At 53.3% G+C, this 21,794-nt stretch overlaps 1 protein-coding gene across 16 annotated transcripts, besides 7 other annotated features; it reads left to right on the top strand.

The window, feature by feature from the left end:
• TRPV2 (transient receptor potential cation channel subfamily V member 2) lies at positions 25–21,457 on the top strand. Of its 16 annotated transcripts, none has more exons than XM_006721541.5 (15): positions 25–287; positions 2,016–2,322; positions 4,569–4,702; positions 7,053–7,343; positions 7,923–8,221; positions 10,553–10,723; positions 11,176–11,331; positions 11,903–12,001; positions 12,771–12,841; positions 13,271–13,436; positions 16,238–16,304; positions 16,420–16,754; positions 18,028–18,152; positions 19,344–19,435; positions 21,243–21,457. In XM_006721541.5, exons 2-14 carry the CDS (start codon positions 2,123–2,125, stop codon positions 19,429–19,431), a joined length of 2,202 nt encoding a protein of 733 aa, XP_006721604.1. In that variant the 5' UTR covers positions 25–287; positions 2,016–2,122; the 3' UTR covers positions 19,432–19,435; positions 21,243–21,457. The 16 variants fall into 16 exon arrangements, with proteins under 16 accessions (XP_006721604.1, NP_057197.2, XP_005256733.1 ...); NM_016113.5 differs by having other exon boundaries at positions 19,344–19,423; XM_005256676.3 differs by having other exon boundaries at positions 11,906–12,001; positions 19,344–19,423.
• Positions 696–815: a silencer, noted in NCBI's record as "silent region_8224". NCBI's record gives its function as "represses an Ori minimal core promoter by ATAC-STARR-seq in GM12878 lymphoblastoid cells {active_cell/tissue: GM12878}" and the evidence as "EXISTENCE:reporter gene assay evidence [ECO:0000049][PMID:35858748]".
• Positions 926–995: an enhancer, noted in NCBI's record as "active region_11760". NCBI's record gives its function as "activates an Ori minimal core promoter by ATAC-STARR-seq in GM12878 lymphoblastoid cells {active_cell/tissue: GM12878}" and the evidence as "EXISTENCE:reporter gene assay evidence [ECO:0000049][PMID:35858748]".
• Positions 1,256–1,305: an enhancer, noted in NCBI's record as "active region_11761". NCBI's record gives its function as "activates an Ori minimal core promoter by ATAC-STARR-seq in GM12878 lymphoblastoid cells {active_cell/tissue: GM12878}" and the evidence as "EXISTENCE:reporter gene assay evidence [ECO:0000049][PMID:35858748]".
• Positions 1,646–1,755: an enhancer, noted in NCBI's record as "active region_11762". NCBI's record gives its function as "activates an Ori minimal core promoter by ATAC-STARR-seq in GM12878 lymphoblastoid cells {active_cell/tissue: GM12878}" and the evidence as "EXISTENCE:reporter gene assay evidence [ECO:0000049][PMID:35858748]".
• Positions 4,355–4,444: an enhancer, noted in NCBI's record as "active region_11763". NCBI's record gives its function as "activates an Ori minimal core promoter by ATAC-STARR-seq in GM12878 lymphoblastoid cells {active_cell/tissue: GM12878}" and the evidence as "EXISTENCE:reporter gene assay evidence [ECO:0000049][PMID:35858748]".
• Positions 10,228–10,728: an enhancer, noted in NCBI's record as "H3K4me1 hESC enhancer chr17:16329088-16329588 (GRCh37/hg19 assembly coordinates)". NCBI's record gives its function as "activates a minimal SCP1, AML or CMV promoter by ChIP-STARR-seq in naive H9 embryonic stem cells {active_cell/tissue: H9 hESC(naive)}" and the evidence as "EXISTENCE:reporter gene assay evidence [ECO:0000049][PMID:30033119]".
• Positions 20,707–21,339: an enhancer, noted in NCBI's record as "H3K27ac-H3K4me1 hESC enhancer chr17:16339567-16340199 (GRCh37/hg19 assembly coordinates)". NCBI's record gives its function as "activates a minimal SCP1, AML or CMV promoter by ChIP-STARR-seq in primed H9 embryonic stem cells {active_cell/tissue: H9 hESC(primed)}" and the evidence as "EXISTENCE:reporter gene assay evidence [ECO:0000049][PMID:30033119]".
• Positions 21,458–21,794: the final 337 nt, after the last annotated feature.

Below are 21,794 nucleotides of genomic sequence, written 5' to 3' on the forward strand. Positions count from 1 at the left end.
GCAGCAGGGTGTGTCCAGATGGTCAGTCTCTGGTGGCTAGCCTGTCCTGACAGGGGAGAGTTAAGCTCCCGTTCTCCACCGTGCCGGCTGGCCAGGTGGGCTGAGGGTGACCGAGAGACCAGAACCTGCTTGCTGGAGCTTAGTGCTCAGAGCTGGGGAGGGAGGTTCCGCCGCTCCTCTGCTGTCAGCGCCGGCAGCCCCTCCCGGCTTCACTTCCTCCCGCAGCCCCTGCTACTGAGAAGCTCCGGGATCCCAGCAGCCGCCACGCCCTGGCCTCAGCCTGCGGGGTAAGTCGGTGGGCAATGCTGGGGACGTTGGAGGGGGCCGGGTCTCCAAGCCTGACAGTGAATGATGGGGTGGGGAAGGCCTAGTGGGCTCCTGGCTTCTACAGCCTGGAGCCAGGGTCTGTGTGGGGCTCCAGCACCCTCTCCCTGGACCTCCACACCCCTTCCTCTGCTGCCAGGGTGGGTGAGGGTCCCAGGAGGTGGGGTGGGGGCTGGACAGACAACTGTTGCTGCTGGGGCTTGGGAGTCTAGGGCTGGAGGAATGGGCCAGGGTTTGGTTGGGGACACAGATGGGCTAAACGGTATGAAACGGAAAGAGCACCCTTCTGCCCCAGTGTGTGTAGAAAGGGTGGTGGGTCACATCTGCAAACTGAGGCAGCCAGGCAGCTCCCCACCTCCCATGTTTCCATGGGAAAATACCCCACCCGGGTCCCCAGGGCCTGGTCCCAGCCTACCCTCTCCACTTCCCTCTGCTGGTGCCGCTCCTCTCTGCTCTCTGCCCCCTGCCCCCTGCCCCCTTCTCCACCCTTCTGTCTCCTTACCACTCTTTGACTCCTTCTTCTTTCTGATCCTGCTCACTGGGCCCATGAGGGTTCCCCAACCCTGACCGAGGCCCCACCCTTGCCAAGTGATGGAGGCTGTGGTTTCAGTTTTCCTGTGAGGGTGAGATTGTGCTGTTTGCTGAGCTTCCTAGGCCAGCCTAGGGCCTGAGGCAGCGTGGTGGAGAGAGCCTGGGCCACAGGCTAGGGGCCTCCCTCCCTTCGTGAAGCCCCCAGAGGCCCTGAGGCACACAAAGGTAGTATTCGATGCCTTCAGAGCTGAATCAGACTGAAAATATAGACAGACCCTGAAAGGCTTTGAAAACGGAAGAGGAACGTCATGGTAGACGCATGGTGTCAGATCCGGCTCTGCCAACAACTGGCGACCTTGGGAAAGCCACTCCCCCTTTCTAAGCCTTAGTAGTCTTGGCAGCAAAATGAAGGGTTTGATAGTCTAGTGGTTTTCCCAGTTATTTCTTCTTAGAGCTCCCCTTCTTTGGCGAGGGGTTGAGTGACTGGCCCCATCCCAGTCATCGCACTTTTATCTGTTGGAATATTGGCTGCCAGGCAAGACGTTGTGTAAAGAAAGGGTTGTGCTGTTAATGTAAATGGTAACAGGGGTTGTGACCCCTCAGATTCCAGGAAGTCCCAGAGGAAAAGTCGGGGACAGTCATGGCTCTTCCTGGGGGACAACATCAAAAGGGTGGCCCTATTGGTTCCCTGTTCCTCACCCCACAGGCCTCCCTCCCTCTCCTCACCCCTGCTGCTCATCCCTCCTGGCCCACTTCCCCTGCATTGGGGCTGGGCTCCCACACAGTGGGTGGACCTACTTGCACTTGGCATTTTTGCCATTAGAAGTAATGAGAAGTAATGGCAAAAACCGCAATTTTTTTTTTTTTTTTTTTTGAGACAGAGTCTTGCTCTGTTGCCCAGGCTGGAGTGCAGTGGTGCCATCTTAGCTTCCGGGTTTAAGCAATTCTCCTGCCTCACCCTCCCTAGTAGCTGGGATTACAGGCACAAGCCACCATGCCCAGCTAATTTTTGTATTTTTTTTAGTGGAGATGGGGTTTCACCATGTTGGTCAGGCTGGTCTCTAACAGCTGACCAGCCAGCCTCAGCCTCCCAAAGTGCTGGGATTACACCCAGCCACCACGCCCAGCCTTTTGCACTAACCTAATACCTCCTTTTGCAGGCTCCAGTCAGGCCAACACCGACGCGCAGCTGGGAGGAAGACAGGACCCTTGACATCTCCATCTGCACAGAGGTCCTGGCTGGACCGAGCAGCCTCCTCCTCCTAGGATGACCTCACCCTCCAGCTCTCCAGTTTTCAGGTTGGAGACATTAGATGGAGGCCAAGAAGATGGCTCTGAGGCGGACAGAGGAAAGCTGGATTTTGGGAGCGGGCTGCCTCCCATGGAGTCACAGTTCCAGGGCGAGGACCGGAAATTCGCCCCTCAGATAAGAGTCAACCTCAACTACCGAAAGGGAACAGGTGCCAGGTGAGACAGCAAGTGGGGGCAGGGCAAAGGGGGCCCCCTGCCCAGCTCCAGCAGAGCACCCGGAGTGAGACTCATTGACTAGTCCAGCACCAGTGCCCCTTCCCACAGCCTGTGGAGTCCTCAGTCTGGCCCTGGTGGCTCCTGGGCCCGACAGGCTGCCTCTGCTCTGCCATCTGGCATTGCTCTTTCCAGAGGCTTCCCCATTCTTGGCCTTCTGCCTTCTGAGGTCATGTTCTTCATGAGATACATTCTTGAGCTCTAAGTCCTCAACTGACCCTCAAATCCCCCTGTTCATGCCAACTCCCACCCCTGTCATGGTCCCTGTTGGGGAAGGCAGCAGGATCCACACTCCATCCAGTGAGAATCAAGGACATCTGGAAATGTCCCAGGCTCTCCTCAGTTCTGCAAGACTGAGCCTGTCACTCAGGGGACGTGAACTGTGGGATTGGGGATGACAGGCTTCTGCTTGGAGTCATCTGCACTTTGATTTTCCTGTGGTCTTTCCACCAATTCAGACTGTGTGAGCACCACATTCCTGAGAGTCCCACTTCCAGTCCTGCTGCATTTGGCACCCCCTACTTCCCTGCCCGGGGGCGGGGCCTGCCCAGTGAGGCTGGAGAATCCTCATGGGCCAGGCTAGACTCTGCCACAGAAGCCCCTTCTTCCCTTCTCATGCTTGAGGTACAGCCACCAGCTTTGGCCTCGCAGGCTAGAGCTGCTTCCTGTTTGTGCTGGAGGACAGTGGTCAGATTCAGCACCAGGGTAGGGGAGGATGCATGAGGAGATTCTGGGAGCTGTGGAGCCTGCCCGACACAGGCAGGACGGGCCCTTGATGCTTTCAGTACCTCAATCTGTGCCCTCAATGGGCTTCCCTACCCCAGGACCATGATGCCACCCTGGTGACAGAAAGTTCTTTGTCCAAATGGCCACTTCTGCCAGCCAGACTGTCCACAGGGCTCCTGTCAGCAGCAGATAGAGCCCTCATGGTCATGTGTGGCTTCCTGGTGCTGACAAAGGAGGGCTGGCTGTAATTACAGTCATAGCTGTTGGCTTAAAAAGTCTACCCTTGAAATCCCCACCTGATTCAAGGAGGCAGAGGTTGCAGTGAGCAGAGATTATGCCACCATACTCCAGCCTGGGTGTCAGTGTGACTCTGTCTCCAAAAAAAAAAAAAAAGTGACGGATCCCAACAATCACCTTGTCACCAACCTTTACTTGGTTGACCCATTCCACAAGAGACATTAAGCTGGGACCTGAGGGTCTACAAATCATCAAATAGCACCCCCTGTTCTTTGTCTTCGCATATCTGCTGGTGGTGGTACCAGAAGCCCCAGAGGCAAGTTGGCCCCTGTGATTAGTAACACAGCCCAGGAGGGAATGACTCATGCCCTTCCCACTTCCAGTCACCAGACGCTGCTAGATTCTAGATTCTGACAAGCTACCAGATCCCTTCCGGGGTCTGTGGGAGAGATTTCTCATTAGGTGTGCCTTCTTGGTGGTGTCTGATATGTTTCAACATTGGGCCCAGCGTTGGGCCCAGGTAATGCTCTGTTTCTGGGAAATTTCTTGCTGCCAAGCCTAGAATCTCTCTGGGGATTCAGAGTCAGGGTCTAAAGTTAAACAGCCCTGCTGAGATTCCCAGTTTGGCGCTGTGTGACTTTGGCAAGTTACATGACCTCCTTGTTTATCTAATGGAGAAATGAGTAGTTTCTGACCAGCAGGGCTGAAGTGAAGATGAAAGGCACAGAATATTCTGTAGTTAATAGATGGTTTCTAAGAGGAGAAGGGAGATTTTCTGCATACTTTCTTTGAAGGCAGTGATGCATGCAGCCACTGTGAGTCTGCGGGGACCTCCCACAGCCCTATCCAGATCCAGCCCCAAGCTCAAGAGCCACCACAAGTGGTGTGTGCTGAAGGGGACCCAGTGGGATATCGAGGCTGTTGAGAGATGGTACATCAAGGCACCTGGCACATGACAAGCACCTGATGCTGAAAAGTGTCTGTGATGACTGGCGTCATGGGGATGAAGCAGCTTAGTGCCTGGACAGGCCCCTTTTCCTCCTCCCGGGGTCCCCTAGGATGGCTCTAGGAGGATAGAGGCCCTCAGAAGGGCTCTCACTGGGCTCCTGGGCCTGAGGGGTGTGCAGTGTGTACAGGACTCCCTGAAAGGGCTCCCTGGGATGGAGGGCTTTTGGGGGGGCCTGTGGTTCTTCTCCAGCATGAGTCACAAACCACATCCTCCACAGTCAGCCGGATCCAAACCGATTTGACCGAGATCGGCTCTTCAATGCGGTCTCCCGGGGTGTCCCCGAGGATCTGGCTGGACTTCCAGAGTACCTGAGCAAGACCAGCAAGTACCTCACCGACTCGGAATACACAGGTAGACCCTGCCCTGTGGATCCAAGGCTAGGCATCCTGTGAGCTGATAGTTAGGTGGGCTGTGTGGGCTTGATCCCTGGTCAGGAGCTGAGGAGTGAGTGTTCTCAGCAGCCCTCCCACTGGAAGGATGGCTGGGGGGCCCTGTGGACAGAGTTAATCAAGGATGGCCTCCTGTCAGTCTTGGCTGTGCCTCCCACTTCCACCCACCCCTCAGGCCTCCTGGCTACCTCTGTCACCCCTAGCCCATTGCAGTGGCTGAATGGAAACCCAAAGCAATCTTTTTTTATCTTTTTTAATAACAGTGTTGTTGAGATATAATATATAATGCACATACCATATACTTAACCCATCTCAAAGCACTCTTTGCCCAAAATCTAAATATCTGTATTGTTTGGGCTGATCAGAAAAATAACATGAGTACTCTAGAAGATTCAAACAGTAAGGAAACATATAGAGCCAAGGGTAAACACAGTCTCTCATCCTGGGCTCCAATTAATTGTTTGAGAATGCATCTGTTCAGACTTTCTTTCTTTCTTCTTTTTTATTTTTGGAGAGATGGGGTTTTGCCATGTTGCCCAGGCTGGCCTCAAACTCCTGGGCTCCAGTGATCCTTCCACCTTGGCCCCCCAGAGTGCTGGGATTACAGGTGTGAGCCACCGCGCAGGGCCTATCCAGACTTTCTTAATACATCAGTATATATTTACATAAATGGGGTCTTGACACATATACTAATTTGTAACGTGCTTTTCCTCCACTTAATACATCTTGTAGCACTTTCCATTTCAGTACATGTCTAACTTAGTCACTTTGACAACTGCAGAGTGAGTTTTCCCTTGTGTCCTTATCATCATTTAGTTAACCAATTCCTTACTTATCGATGGCCATTTTAGGTTGTTCGTAGTTTTTGGCTTCAACTAGCTGTGTGCCAGGCCCTCTGTGTGCTATCCACTTTGTTTATATTATTCCCCTTTTTTTTTTTGGAGACGGAGTCTTGCTCTGTTGCCCAGCCTGGAGTACAGTGGTGCGATCTCAGTTCACTGCAAAACTCCACCTCCCGGGCTCATGCCATTCTCCTGCCTCAGCCTCAGCCTCCCGAGCAGCTGGGATTACAGGCACCAGCCACCACACCTGGCTAATTTTTTGTATTTTTTTAGTAGAGACAGGGTTTCACCGTTTTAGCCAGGATGGTCTCAATCTCCTGACTTCGTGATCCGCCCGCCTTGGCCTACCAAAAATGCTGGGATTACAGGCGTGAGCCACCGCGCCTGGCCATTTTTTTTTTTTTTTTTTCCGAGACGGAGTCTTGCTCTGTCACCCAGGCTGGAGTGCAGTGGCGTGATCTCAGCTCACTGCAACCTCTGCCTCCCGGGTCCAAGCAATTCTCCTGCCTCAGCCTCCCGAGTAGCTGGGATTACAGGCGCCCAGCACTGCGCCTGGCTAATTTTTGTATTTTTAGTAAAGATGGGATTTCACCATGTTGGTCAGGCTGGTCTGGAACTCGACCTCGTGATCTGCCCACCTTGGCCTCCCAAAGTGTTGGGATTACAGGCGTGAGCCACTGCGCCTGGCCTTATATTATTCCCTTTGAACCTTACAATAATCCTGGAACATTCCCATTTTACAGTAACGAAAACTGAGATTAAGAGAGGCCACGTGACTTGCCAGAGGAGATAGAGACATTAAGTGGTGGAGTCATGTACAAATACTGCTCTGAATGTTCTGCTGTAGACAGCATTTCACGAATGATGACTTATGTCTTAGAAATTTAGTTTCTAAGCCGGGCGCAGTGGCTCACGCCTGTAATCCCAGCACTTTGGGAGGCCGAGGTGGGCAGATCATGAGATCAGGAGATCGAGACCATCCTGGCTAACACGGTAAAACCCGTCTCTGCTGAAAACAAAAAACAAAACAAAACAACAAAAAAAATTAGCCGGGTGTGGCGGTGTGCGCCTGTGGTCCCAGCTGCTGGGGAGGCTGAGGCAGGAAAACGGCGTGAACCTGGGAGGCAGAGCTTGCAGTGAGCCAAGATTGCGCCACTGCACTCCAGCCTGGGTGACAGAGCAAGACTCTGTCTCAAAAAAAAAAAAAAAAGAAAAGAAAAGAAAAGAAAAAGAAAAAAAAAGAAATTTCGTTTCTAGGGCAGAAATTGTAGTCATGTCTGTTGGTATTTCTTATCTGTTACTTGGAGCCTTAATAGCCTATAACATGGTTGTGCTCCCACCAGTTATGTGTAGCATCTCTTTTAATCCTCCCAAGGGGTACTTTGAGCTGGGCTTATAAGAGCTATCGGGCAGCCCAGCCACTCCAGGTCTCAGCACCACTGTGCCCCTTCCCCTCCCTTCTTCCCACAGAGGGCTCCACAGGTAAGACGTGCCTGATGAAGGCTGTGCTGAACCTTAAGGACGGAGTCAATGCCTGCATTCTGCCACTGCTGCAGATCGACAGGGACTCTGGCAATCCTCAGCCCCTGGTAAATGCCCAGTGCACAGATGACTATTACCGAGGCCACAGCGCTCTGCACATCGCCATTGAGAAGAGGAGTCTGCAGTGTGTGAAGCTCCTGGTGGAGAATGGGGCCAATGTGCATGCCCGGGCCTGCGGCCGCTTCTTCCAGAAGGGCCAAGGGACTTGCTTTTATTTCGGTGAGTGAGCCTTTCTTGGATAAATCGAGGCAAAGAGAGAGTAAGGCCTGGTTCAAGGTCACATGGTTAGTGTATGACAGAGCTGGCAGTTAAACCTAGGTTTTTCTGACCCCGATGCCCTGCTTCTAACCACTAGGCTGCCTGCAAAAGCAGTTTGTCTTTTGTCCAGGCCAGCCTCAAACTCCTGGGTTCTAACAATCCTCCTGCCTTAGCTTCTCGAGCTGGGGCTACAAGTGTGTGCCACCACATCCAGCATTAATTTGTCATAAGAGATGTTTCATCCTCGTCTGGCCAGAAGACGGGCATGCACCCAGACCCAGACCCAGGGAAAGAAATAGGGGCTGCTAGCACTGGCATGTGACTTGGCCAGGCAGAGCCTGAATAAAGAGGCAGCATGCCTGGGCTCTGGCAAAGAAGACAGCAAAAGGCAGCAGGTTGGCTGGCCCCTGTTCTGCTCCCTTCAGTGGTAAAGAAGCCTGACCTGTTTCAAGGAGGGCTGGCCTTTTGTCCAAGGAGCATGAGGAGTAGGCAGATGGAAAGCAGGAGGCCTGGGGCCCAAGCTGCTCTCTTGGCCTGCAGGTGAGCTACCCCTCTCTTTGGCCGCTTGCACCAAGCAGTGGGATGTGGTAAGCTACCTCCTGGAGAACCCACACCAGCCCGCCAGCCTGCAGGCCACTGACTCCCAGGGCAACACAGTCCTGCATGCCCTAGTGATGATCTCGGACAACTCAGCTGAGAACATTGCACTGGTGACCAGCATGTATGATGGGCTCCTCCAAGCTGGGGCCCGCCTCTGCCCTACCGTGCAGCTTGAGGACATCCGCAACCTGCAGGATCTCACGCCTCTGAAGCTGGCCGCCAAGGAGGGCAAGATCGAGGTGAGCGGCTGTCCCCTTCCCACTTCCCCTCTCCAGGAAGCAGTAGGTCTCATCCCAAAATTTCTGCAGAAAGAACCCAGGGGGTGGTGAAGAGCAGTGGCTTCTCTGCTTTTCAATGGAACACTCCTGTTAGTAAGAAAATTTTCAGTATGTACCTCTGATATATTTCTGTTTATTTATAAATTGCATATGAACTACTGAATATATTACATTATAAAACATTGAGATTTTTTTTTTTTGAGACGGTGTTTCGCTCTTGTTGCCCAGGCTGGAGTGCAATGGTGCGACCTCGGCTCACCGCAACCTCTGCTTCCCAGGTTCAAGCGATTCTCCTGCCTCAGCCTCCCAAGTAGCTGGGATTACAGGCATGTGCCACCACACCCAGCTAATTTTGTTTTTTTTTTTTTTGAGACGGACCCTCGCTCTGTCACCCAGGCTGGAGTGCAGTGACATGATCTCGGCTCACTGCAACCTCTGCCTCCCAGGTTCAAGCAATTCTCCTGCCTCAGCCCCCTGAGTAGCTGGGATTACAGGCACCCACCACCATGCCTGGCTAATTTTTTTTTTGTATTTTCAGTAAAGAGGGGTTTCACCATGTTGGTCAGGCTGGTCTTGAACTCCTGACCTCGTGATCCACCCGCTTCGGCCTCCCAAAGTGCTGGGATTACAGGCACGCGCCACTGCACCCAGCTAATTTTTTGTATTTTTAGTAGAGATGGGGTTTCACCATGTTGGCCAGGCTGGTCTTGAACTCCTGACCTCAGGTGATCTGCCCACCTCGGCCTCCCAAAGTGCTGGGATTACAGGTGTGAGCCATGGCACCCGGCCAAACATTGGGAATTTTTAAAAGTCGTTTGTGTTTCTTTATTAAGAGATAGCCTTTTTATATCTTTTGCCTATTTTGCTATTCTGTTTCTGCATATTTATTGATAACTTTATAATGAATTTAGTATTTTGTCTACCATAGCACTTGTAAAATTTCTCCTAGTTCATCATTTGTCTTTTGAATTTTATGTTTTTTTTGCTATACAGGATTTAAAAATTTTTATAATCTGCAAGTGTGACTATCTTTTCCTTTAAGGTTCCATGGTTTTGCTATTGTCTAATTCCTGCTACAAGATTTTATATATATAATACATATTATATGTACATAATATATGTTATAACTATTATACATTATATTATACATTATAATTATATATAGTATATATATAATCTTCATACCCATATTTTCTTCCAAACTTTTGCAGCTGCATTTTTTTTTTTTTTTTTTTGAGATGGAGTTTCGCTCTTGTTGCCCAGGCTGGAGTACAATGGCGCGATCTCGGCTAACTGCAACCTCCGCCTCCGGAGTTCAAGCGATTCTCTTGCCTCAGCCTCCCGAGTAGCTGGGATTACAGGCATGTGCCACCACGCCCGGCTAATTTTGTATTTTTAGTAGAGACGGGGTTTCTCCATGTTGGTCAGGCTGGTCTCAAACTCCCGACCTCTGGTGATCCACCTGCCTCAGCCTCCCAAAGTGCTGAGATTACAGGCATGAGCCGAAACGCCCAGCCTGCAGCTGCATTTTTAATGCCTAGAGCTTTGACTAGCTGGAAGTTATTCTGGTAGGAAGAGTAAACATGAGGCAGCCCCCACTTTGTTCCAGATAGCTTACCAATGGCCTGTTCCAAATAGCTTTTGCCAATAGCTCACCAGGGCTGGCCTCATGGGCTTACAGTGGAGATTTTTGAAAGATTAAGGAAACGATAAACATAAATAGAAGTTTTAACCCTTTTTCGCTGCCCTCCCAAGTTTTTTGGAGTGCTCCCTGGGGTGTGTGAACCTCACTTTCTTGTCTAGAGGCACTGCTGTGTGGCCTATGAAAGCAGTGTCCTGATCTGTTCCTCCTTTCCCATTCCTCACGCGTGAAACCAGACTGCTTCCTAACCTGTTTGGATTAGGGACCACTTTCTAGTCTGTTGAAAATTCTAGATTCTGACCGCGAAAGTGCACACACAGATACAGCTAGTAGACTCTGATCTCAGGGGCCTCAAGGACCCCAGGGCTAGGGATCAATCTGCCATTTGAGGAGTTCAAGGAAGGCCACAGGGCAGGGGAGGGGAAGGAAGAGCCAGGCTGGCTGGCAGGCTGGGGCAGATGTGGCTGGGTGCGTGTGTGTGTTTAAGAGTTTAGACAAACAAGGACCTGCGTGTATGGGGGTACGTGCACGTGTCAGCTGCAGCTCTGCAGACCGTGGGCAGCTGCTGAGTCCTGGGTGTTTCCCAGCCTTGGCCCAGGATCAGTGCCAGGAAGGGACCATGAATGCAAGCTCATATGGCCACCCTGCAGATTTTCAGGCACATCCTGCAGCGGGAGTTTTCAGGACTGAGCCACCTTTCCCGAAAGTTCACCGAGTGGTGCTATGGGCCTGTCCGGGTGTCGCTGTATGACCTGGCTTCTGTGGACAGCTGTGAGGAGAACTCAGTGCTGGAGATCATTGCCTTTCATTGCAAGAGCCCGGTGAGCCCACAGGAGCATGGGTGCACGCAGAGGACCCAGCAGAGTTTCCAGCAAGGTCCACAAATTGGGGCTGCCTGCTGGACCATATCTGCCCCATTCCTGTGCCAGTGGGGGTGTGGCTGCATGTCCCAGCAGGCACGACCCTGACCATGGCCACCGGGCCCATACTCAATCCATACTCTAGTCCCATCCAAGACGGGGATCATGCCAAGGGCCTCGTGGCAACCATCCGGGTCCTCTCTGTTAACCAGCATCTCATTTGGAGGGCAAGCCCCTTAGTCACACTGTAGCTGGGAGGGTTGGCGTGAGGTCCTTTGGGGCTCCTGGGGTGTGGAAGCCTGCTCCCTGTCCTCTCTCCTCATTTCCTGGGCCCTTGCTTTGATCTTGACATGGAGTGGGCAGCCTATTTGCACTTGTTGAGTGTACCCATGGCTCTCCCCTCCCCACCCCAGCACCGACACCGAATGGTCGTTTTGGAGCCCCTGAACAAACTGCTGCAGGCGAAATGGGATCTGCTCATCCCCAAGTTCTTCTTAAACTTCCTGTGTAATCTGATCTACATGTTCATCTTCACCGCTGTTGCCTACCATCAGCCTACCCTGAAGAAGGCAAGGGCGTGAGGTTTGGGGGGGCACATCTTGGGGGAGGCCTGCTTGAAACAACCCTGGGGGAAGATGGGGCAGTAATAGTGCTGAGGCATGGGCTGCTGGAGTGACATTCCCAAGCTTATGGGAGCCAGCACTGCAGTACTAACGGTGATACAGTGAAGATTTGCTGAGTGCTCACTGTATGTGAAAAAGGATTCTAGGTGATGGACATGTGTTGACTAATTAATGTGCCCCAAAACCCTTGAGATGGTGAATTATAATCACCCCCAGTTTATAGTAGAGGGAAGGGAGGCACAGAGAGGTTAAGTAACTTGCCCAGGGTCACACAGAATGGAAGTGGTGTGGAGAGGGAATCTGAATCCAGGGAGTCTGGCTTCAGACCCTACACTGAAATGCTACACAATGTGCCTCTCAGGATCCAGGGGTCCTTCCCTGGAGCCCATGTTCCCATGCCGTTCTGAGGAGCCTCTCCACAGCTCAGGCTCAGAGTAGGCCCTCAGCTTCAGCTCTGAAGGGTGAGCTGTTCGAGAGAGGACCCAAGGCCCTAGGTCTCATCTGAGTGTGTCTTCAGCAGGCCGCCCCTCACCTGAAAGCGGAGGTTGGAAACTCCATGCTGCTGACGGGCCACATCCTTATCCTGCTAGGGGGGATCTACCTCCTCGTGGGCCAGGTGAGTGCCCCTCCCCTTCTCCTACCAAGAAGCAAACCTAGAATTCTGCTTCAGGGGGCTTAGAGAAAGTTAGCTGCATCCCCTCACTGACAATACCCAGTCCCACCCAGAGCAACCAGCCTCACTGAAGCTGAGGGCCAGAGGTTCTGGCCTTGCCTTCTGAGTCCCCAGGAACCCCTCTGCTGTGCTTTTGGGGTTCCTTGGGGTAGCAGATAGCTTCTCTGATTCCTTGGCAGTACAGACTCTGCTCCCCCAGGAATGGAGCTGGAAGCGCCTGCCCCTAGCCAGGCCCCTCGGCTGGGAAGCTCCCCTCTTGGGGAGCACAGAGACCAGAGGTAGGTGGGGTTCAGGCTATTTCCCCCAGTAGGGCCTCTTCAGTGGGAAATGCTGTAAGCCTGCAGGACACAGGCTGGACACCAAGACATTGGGACCTCCGCAGAGTGGGCAGAACTTGGGCACCAAACGCAGGTTGGCTGGGGTATGGGTGCTCCCTGTGAGGCCAGGGAGAAGGGAAGGGAAAGGTGCTCTTCCCCTTCCTGCATGCAGTGCACAGGCTCTTCACCTGCACCCCCCGGCCTTGCCTAGGTGGCTGCTCTTTCTGGAAAGAAAGTCCCAAGCTATCTCAGCTATCAGAAGTATTCATGAGTCCCCCAAAACCAAAGCTGCTGACTTAGCTCTAGCCTGGGTGGCAGGCTCCCACTCAGCCAGGCCAGCAGGGGGCATGCGGGAGAGCAGGTTTCACAGCCCTCTGTCCTCCCTTCCTCCGCAGCTGTGGTACTTCTGGCGGCGCCACGTGTTCATCTGGATCTCGTTCATAGACAGCTACTTTGAAATCCTCTTGTACGTGGGTTCTCACTCCTCCTTCTCTCAACTGTCTCTGAGGTCTGGAAGGGGCAGTTGTGGCAGAAGGCACCAGGTTGGCTTTAGAGGCGAGGACACGGGGCCCAGGAAGTCGGGATCTGTGTACAGGCCAGTCCCAGGAGTCTGGGCTGCCGTCCAGCCTGGGGCCCCTTGTGCTCCCATCACTGTAGATGGTGATAGTGACATTTACTAGGCCTCGGCACATACCTGTTTCACTTAGTCCTTGAAAACACTCTATGAGTCAGGCATCATTATTATTATGCCCATTTTACAGTGGGAGGGAACTGAGGCCCACAGAGGTTAAATGTCTTGCCTAAGATGGAGGTCAGGACCTTGGTCAGCATAGGCCAGTGGGGGCTCAGGGAGCCAAGTGGCCCGCAAGCCCACCTGGATTCTGCTCCCACACAGCCTGTTCCAGGCCCTGCTCACAGTGGTGTCCCAGGTGCTGTGTTTCCTGGCCATCGAGTGGTACCTGCCCCTGCTTGTGTCTGCGCTGGTGCTGGGCTGGCTGAACCTGCTTTACTATACACGTGGCTTCCAGCACACAGGCATCTACAGTGTCATGATCCAGAAGGTGAGAGAAGGGGGTGGCCCACCGGGACTCTTTTGGCCTCATCAGGCAAGAAGAGCCTTCCTCCACAGCTATCCTAGGCAGAGGAGGGCATGTGTACATCTGCCTGTGCGCCAGCACTCAGATGCTTGCTGGATGGAAGCTTAAGTACAGGCCTGCACATACCTCTCTCAGGGCTCTGCATGCACACGCAAACAAACGTACATATGTGTGTTTGCAGGTGTCCACACGGGAGCATGTGCATCCTTCCACAAGCAAGGAGCAAAGAATATGTGCATAAGCTCATCTGCATGTCTGTGTCCTGCGATGTGTGGGCGCGGGCATGTAACTGCATTCATTTATGTATTCAGCGCATGTTTAGGGAGTGCCTACTGTGGGCCGGGCCCTGTTCTAGGTGTTGGGAATATAGCAGAGAACAGAACAAGTCCTTGCTCCCCTGAAGCTGATGTTCTGGTGGGAGGAAATGAAAACCTTAAGAAAACAACTGAGAACATTCCACACTGCTAAATTCTATGAAGGAAAAAAAAGCACAGGACAATGTGATGCAGAATGGCTGGGACCAAGTACCCTTTAGATGGGATGGTCTGGGAAGCCTCTCTAAAGAGGGGATGTTTAAGTTGAGACCTGAAAGAATGATTCAGCCACAGCAGGGTGAAGAGGAGATATTCTCAGCAGAGGGCACAGCAGTGGCTGCCACGAGCCAGAAGGAGCTTGGGGTGCTTGGGACAGGGTGAGGAGGCTAGGTGGCTGGGGAGATGGCAGGAGGGTGGAGGTGAGGAGGTTGGGAGGAAGGGAAGGGCCAGGGGCCCCTTCCACGGGGAGGGATTTGGAGGTCCCCAGAGGCTTTTTTTTTTTTAATTGTAGTAAAATACACCTAACATGGAACTTTTTTTTTTTTCTTTGAGATGGAGTCTCACTCTTGTTACCTAGGCTAGAGTGCAATGGCACCATCTCAGCTCACTGCAAACCCCTACTCCTGGGTTCAAGCGATTCTCCTGCCTCAGCCTCCCGTATGGCTGGGGTTGCAGGCACCCACCACCATGCCCGGCTAATTTTTGTATTTTTAGTAGAGACAGGTTTTCACCACGTTGGCCAGGCTGGTCTCAAACTCCTGACCTCAGGTGATCCGCCTGCCTTGGCCTCCCAAAGTGCTGGGATTACAGGCATGAGCTACTGCGCCTGGCCCATTTTAACCTTTTTTTTTTAAAGTATACAGCTAAGTGTCATTAAGTACATTCACACTGTTGTATAACCATCACCACCATCCAACTCCAGAACTTTCTTGTCATCCCAAACTGAAACTCAACACCCATTAAACAACTCCCCATTCCCTTCCCCCAGTCCCTGGAAGCCACCATTCTAATTTCTGTTTCTACGAATTTGATGACCATAGCTACATCGTAGAAGTGGAATCATACAGTATTTGTCCTTTAATGTCTGGCTTATTTTACTCAGTATAATGTCCTCAAGGATCAGCCATGTTGTAGCATGTGTCAGAAATGCCTTCCTTTTTTTTTTTTTTTTGAGATGGAGTCTTGCTCTGTTGCCCAGGCTGGAGTGCAGTGATGCAATCTTGGCTCACTGCAACCTCCGCCACCCAGGTTCAAGCGATTCTCCTGCCTCAGCCTCCCGAGTAGCTGGGACTACAGGCATGTGTCACCACATCCGGCAAATTTTTTTTATTTTTAGTAGAGACGGAGTTTTGCCACGTTGGCCAGGATGGTCTTGAACTCCTGACCTCAGGTGATCCACCCACCTTGGCTTCCCAAAGTGCTGGGATTGCAGGCTGAGCCATCACGCCCAGCCAATTCCTTCCTTTGTAAGGCTGAATAATATCCCATTGTGTAGATACACCACATTTTGTGCGTCCATTCATCTGTCGATCCAGTCACCTGTTGCTTCCACCTTTTGACCATTGTGAATAATGCTGCTACGAACAAGGGTGTAAAAGTATCTGTTAGAGTCCCTGCTTTCAATTCTTTTGGGCATATACATACCCAGAAGTGGAATTGCTGGGTCATACAGTAGTTCTATATTTTATTTTGTGACCCTGGAAGGTTTTTTTTTTTTGTTTTTTGTTTTTTGTTTTTTGAGATGGGACTCATTCAGTCACCCAGGCTGGAGTGCGGTGACACGATCATAGCTCATTGCCGCCTTGACATTCTGGGCTCAAGCAATCCTCCTGTCTCAGCCTCCTGAGTAGCTGGCACTGTAGGCTTGTGCCACCATGCCCAGCTACTGGAAAGTTTTAAGCAGGAAAACAATGTGATCTGAGACATATATATATATATATATATATATATATATACATATTTTTTTTTTTTTTTTTTTTGAGACGAAGTCTCACTCTGTAGCCCAGGCTGGAGTGCAGTGGTGTGATCTCGGCTCACCACAACCTCTGCCTCCTGGGTTCAAGTGATTCTCCTGCCTCAGCCTCCTGAGTAGCTGGGATTACAAGCACAGGCACACCACTGCACCTGGCTAATTTTTTGTATTTTTAGTAGAAACGCGGTTTCACCATGTTGGCCAGGCTGGTCTTGAACTCCCAACCTCAGGTAATCTGCCCGCCTCAGCCTCCCAAAGTGCTAGGATTATAGGCATGAGCCACCGCACCCAGCCAGATCTGAGATATATTTTTAAAAGACTCCTCTGCTCGGTGTGGCTCCACAGGCCCACATATGCATATGTATGTGTGCGTATGTGCAGTGTACACGGGAACCATGCTGCTGTGGGTGAGGCAGGGTTCTGGGGTCGTGACTGGTGGCCCAGCTACCCACCCTGGCCCCTGGGCACATGTGTTCCAGGTCATCCTGCGGGACCTGCTGCGCTTCCTTCTGATCTACTTAGTCTTCCTTTTCGGCTTCGCTGTAGGTAAAGGCTCCCTCCGGCCCCCTCCCCCTTCCCCACGTTCCTTGTCCACCCTGTACACTCCCAAGGCTGCCCACCGGTCTCCTGGGCTAAGGACCCCTCTCCCTTCATCCCATAGCCCTGGTGAGCCTGAGCCAGGAGGCTTGGCGCCCCGAAGCTCCTACAGGCCCCAATGCCACAGAGTCAGTGCAGCCCATGGAGGGACAGGAGGACGAGGGCAACGGGGCCCAGTACAGGGGTATCCTGGAAGCCTCCTTGGAGCTCTTCAAATTCACCATCGGCATGGGCGAGCTGGCCTTCCAGGAGCAGCTGCACTTCCGCGGCATGGTGCTGCTGCTGCTGCTGGCCTACGTGCTGCTCACCTACATCCTGCTGCTCAACATGCTCATCGCCCTCATGAGCGAGACCGTCAACAGTGTCGCCACTGACAGCTGGAGCATCTGGAAGCTGCAGGTGCCACCAGAGAGGCTCCCTGCCCCCACCCCACCCCACACTCAGGCGGTGGGGAGTGCTCCGGACCCTGCGGAGCTGGGCCTTCCCTAGCCAGGAGATGCCGGGTTGGGCAGCTCTACCTTGTCAGTCTTCCTCTTCCTTTTTTTTTTTTTTTTCTGGAGACAAGGTCTTGCTCTGTCACCCAGGCTGGAGTGCAGTGGCACGATCACAGCTCAATGCAGCCTCGGCCTCCTGAGCTCAAGTGATCCTCCTTCCTCAGCCTCCTGAGTAGCTGGGGTTACAGGCACCTGCCACCACACTTGGCTAATATTTTTATTTTTTGTAGAGAAGAAGGTCTCACTATGTTGCCCCGGCCTCAGGTGATCCTCCCACCTTTGCCTCCCAAAGTGCTGAGATTACTCCCACCTCCTTTAAGCTCATAGATGTACTTAGGACAGTGCCCAGCACCAAGCAGGTGCTCAATGTGCTACCAGCTACTCTTATCATCATTGCTGTCCAGTGTTTCTTTTTTTTTTTTTTTTGAGTCAAGAGTTTTGCTCTTGTTGCCCGGGCTGGAGTGCAATGGTGCAATCTTGGCTCACTGCCACCTTTGTCTCCTGGGTTCAAGCGATTCTCCTGCCTCAGCCTCCCAAGTACCTAGGATTACAGGCATGTGCCACCACACCCCACTAATTTTTTGTATTTAGTAGAGATAAGGTTTCACCATGTTGGTCAAGCTGGTCTTGAACTCCTGACCTCAGGTGATACACCTGCCTCGGCCTCCCAAAGTGCTGGCATTACAGGCATGAGCCACCATGCCCCACCCTGCTGCCAATTCATTGTTGATCTTGGGGAAGCCCCTTATCTCCTCTGAGCCTTGGTGCCCTCCTCTGCAAGGTTCTGTGCCCCACCTGACTCACTGGTGTGCCTCTGGGCAGGCACATGTGTGGGGTGAGCAAATGAAGTTCTGTTCCTGGTGGTGTGGCAATCTGGAGCCTGGAACGATGTAAGAGCAAGTAGCTGTCCAGTACTCATAAGGTACAGACTTCCCATCAGCTGTCTGAGGCACTTTGTCCTCAGTCTACAAATGGGGAAACTGAGATGCAGAGAGGCTGAGGGCCCAACCCCACACAGGTAACCGGATGTTGGAGCCAGATTCGAATCCGCGTGTTTAGTTGACTTCGCGTTATACTGTGAAGTGCTGCGCGGCACTTCCCTGCTCCGCTTGCCTTGTGTGCCTTTGCCCCCAGGCAGGGTCCCAGGACGTTCTGTCTGATGCATCCTTTGTCCCCAGAAAGCCATCTCTGTCCTGGAGATGGAGAATGGCTATTGGTGGTGCAGGAAGAAGCAGCGGGCAGGTGTGATGCTGACCGTTGGCACTAAGCCAGATGGCAGCCCCGATGAGCGCTGGTGCTTCAGGTGAGTGAGTGGTGGGAGGGTCTCCTGGGGGCCTTGCTGTCCAGCAATCCCTGGGGCCCCCCTGCAGTGCAGGGCACAGCTGCCAGGAGCCAGGTCTGGTGGGAAGGGCAGGCCCAAAGAGCACCAGGGACTGAGCCTGAGCAGGTGAGGTCAGGGGTCTGGATCTCACAAGCCATGGCTGCCACATGACTGGCCATCTGCCTGTCCCAGTGGCTTAAACTGAAGGTCCCCTCCTGGTGATCTCAGACTCCTCCTTGTAGCCTGAAATGTGTTACGGTAAGGAGGCCAAGAAGTCAGAGGGACCCTTGGGTTGCTAGCACTCTAGCATTGCCCTGGCTGCTCTGTGTCCCCCCACCCCCAATTCTGCCAGCCTGATCTCTGAGCTACAACCCCTTCCATGGAGAACATGCCCTTCTGTGTCCAGGAAAGGCTGGGACACTGGGAGAGGGAACCTAGTGACAAACACACAGCTAAAAACAGACACTGTCGGCCGGGTGCAGTGGCTCATGCCTGTAATCCCAGCACTTTGGGAGGCCGAGGCGGGCAAATCACGAGGTCAGGAGATCGAGACCATCCTGGCTAACACAGTGAAACCCCATCTCTACTAAAAATACAAAAAAGTAGCCGGGCGTGGTGGCGGGCGCCTGTAGTCCCAGCTACTCAGGAGGCCGACGCAGGAGAATGGCATGAACCTGGGAGGCGGAGCTTGCAGTGAGCTGAGATCGCACCACTGCACTCCAGCCTGGGCGACAGAGCGAGACTCCATCTCAAAAAAAAAAAAAAAAAGAAAACAACAGCAACAAAAAAAACAGACACTGTCGTGAGGCAGCAGATGAGCAGAGAGACGGAGTCTTGGGCATGAGGAGCAGCCATGATAGGCCCCAGAACCCGGAAGCACAGATACACCTGATCTGAATTCCTCTTCTCTGGTTGTTCTGGGCAACCCAGGCTGCTGTGAACAGCCAGAAGCGATGGATGCTGATTCCTGCAAGTGAGCACCTGCCTCACAGGACAGGGCTCCAAGTGGGTGGCCCAGAACCCTGCAGAGAAAAAGCCTGTCCTCCTCAGGGCCTCTGTGTCCACCAGAGCATCTCTGCATAGTCTCCCAATTTGGGGGGCCACGCCCCTCTCCGGGGTGGGAGGGGAGGCGGTCAAAGCAGGCAAACCTCAGAGCTGCTCTGTTGCCCTCAGGGTGGAGGAGGTGAACTGGGCTTCATGGGAGCAGACGCTGCCTACGCTGTGTGAGGACCCGTCAGGGGCAGGTGTCCCTCGTGAGTAGCCTGGTGACTAGAGCCTCTGCCCTGGGGTGTGTGTCTCTGCTGCTTGGCCACAAAGCCTTGGAGAGTCTGGGGCAGGACCCAGAGACCTCCTCATAGTCCCTTTGCAGATCCCCACATGCCAGCTCCTCTTAGAGGGATTGCCTCCTTAAAACAGTGGTTCCCTCCTTTCCTTTCCACCCACACCTTGCTTTCAGGCAGGAACCAGGGGAAACCTCTGAGGCTGTTAGCGCTTCCACCAGCCCAGCCTCTGGCTGCCCTCTCTCTGATGCCAGTCAGTCACACCCTTTGCCCATTCAATTGGTTATCGAGGGTCTGTCCCCAGCCAGGCCTGGGCTGAGCCTGGGGACTCAGCAGGGGAATAAGTTAGGAAGGGCTGTGTCACAGCGCAGCCTACAACAGAGGCAGCATCTCCCTGGACCCTCAGAGGAACTGCCCTGCATAGGCCCTTAGTCCCTTCACACCCCAAGTCCCCCACCTCTGAGAAACCACTTCCCATGCTTCCTCCATGTCCGTGGCCTGTGTCCTCTCCGTTCCAGTGTAGTGATGGCCCCTCCTGTCCCCACCCTGCTGCCTCCACCAAGACTGGTTCCTTCCTCCCACCCTCAGAGGCCTGTTCTGAGGATTAGCTGTCCCCACTGCATACCCTTTCTTTCTAGAACCTTCAATAGCTCCCACCTTCCACTGGTTCACCTCCTCTCCTTTCTCCATCTCTTTCCTGACAAATTTCACTTGCTTGTGCCTGTTGCCCCCCACAATAGCCTCCTGAGTCTCCCATGGCCCCTGTTGTAGGGAGGCTCCTCTGGCCTCTTCTGCCCCACAGCCTGCTGGTTTCCCAGGCTCCTGGGCCGTGACCACTGCCTCACATACAGATAGGTTTCCCTTCACCTTCTCTTTGCATCTCCCTCTCTTCACTACAATGCCAGGAAAGTCACCTCTGAAAGTCACCTTGTCCCTCCCTCATCTTGCCCCAAGCACTCCACACCCCACTGCCTGCTGGGGCCTCCAATGTGACATTCCCAACAGGAACAGCCTCGGGGCTGCCCCAGCAGGTCACATGTATGTCACCCCACCCCCTCCTCACCCAGGTGGAAGGCCTTGAGAGTCTCAGCCTATTCCCCCCGCTATACCAGCTCTCCCACCTGGAGCTGAGTGTCCTTGACCCCTCAGGCGGCCACTCATCCCTCTGCCCTGCCCTGCCTCTTACTTCTGCACCACTGCAGGGGGGCCCAGCCTGCACTCTTACCCATTGCAGTCCTGCTAATGTGGACAAAAACCACATGCAGCCCACGCTACACAATGCCTCCCACTACCTGGAAGGCCGCACTGCTCAGAATGGAGGTCAGGGCCCAAAGCTGTCTAACTCACTCCCCACACCTCCATCCACATGTCTGCAGTACTCCTTGTTCTTTGCTTTCCTTGGTTCATCTCTGGATTCGTCTCTGTCGGAAGTGCTCTTCCTCCCCTCTGGATGTCCAAATCTGCCACCGCCCCTGCAGGACAGGTCCCCTCTCTCCTCTGAGCTCCCCCAGCATGTCTCAGGTGTTCTGATCTCTGACACACAAGTCTGTCACCTCCAGGCACTTTAAGCTCCTGGGGGTGGCAGGGGCAGGGGGAAGCCCCTGATATGGCAGGGGATTGGGAAATGCTTGTGGAGTGAGGGAAGCAGGGAGAAGGATTGCTGGCCTCCAGGATCGCTGAGGCTGTCCCCACGGCATGACGTGTTTTCATGACTGTGGCCCCGTTTCCCTGGTGCCTGCTTCCTGGGGACACACTCAAGGGTTAAGCTACAGTGCTTGCCATCTGTTTACAGGAACTCTCGAGAACCCTGTCCTGGCTTCCCCTCCCAAGGAGGATGAGGATGGTGCCTCTGAGGAAAACTATGTGCCCGTCCAGCTCCTCCAGTCCAACTGATGGCCCAGATGCAGCAGGAGGCCAGAGGACAGAGCAGAGGATCTTTCCAACCACATCTGCTGGCTCTGGGGTCCCAGTGAATTCTGGTGGCAAATATATATTTTCACTAACTAACTCTTCTGGAAACATTATTTGGGCAGAGTTGCTGGGACCCTTAGAGCTGGCAATGTCTGCATGTCTCTGTGTGCACAGGTCTGTGTATGGGACTAGGTTGCTCCTGCCCTTGCCTGGGCACAGAGACCCTCAGTTGCTGTGTCCCCACCCTCACCCCCACATCCCCAAGTCTGGGGACTGTCCTCTTCCTGGGTACAGGCAGCTGGCTGAGGTGCTGTGCCCATTGTTGTGGCAGATATATGGTGATGGACATGGGCAAACAGCCACCTCTCCTCTCTCTCCACCACGACACCCTTTGCTTTCCACACCCACCCTGCTTTTGGGCAGGTACCTGGGA

Source organism: Homo sapiens, chromosome 17 (assembly GCF_000001405.40).
Source record: "Homo sapiens chromosome 17, GRCh38.p14 Primary Assembly".
In the NCBI taxonomy this organism is placed as follows: Eukaryota; Metazoa; Chordata; class Mammalia; order Primates; family Hominidae; genus Homo; species Homo sapiens.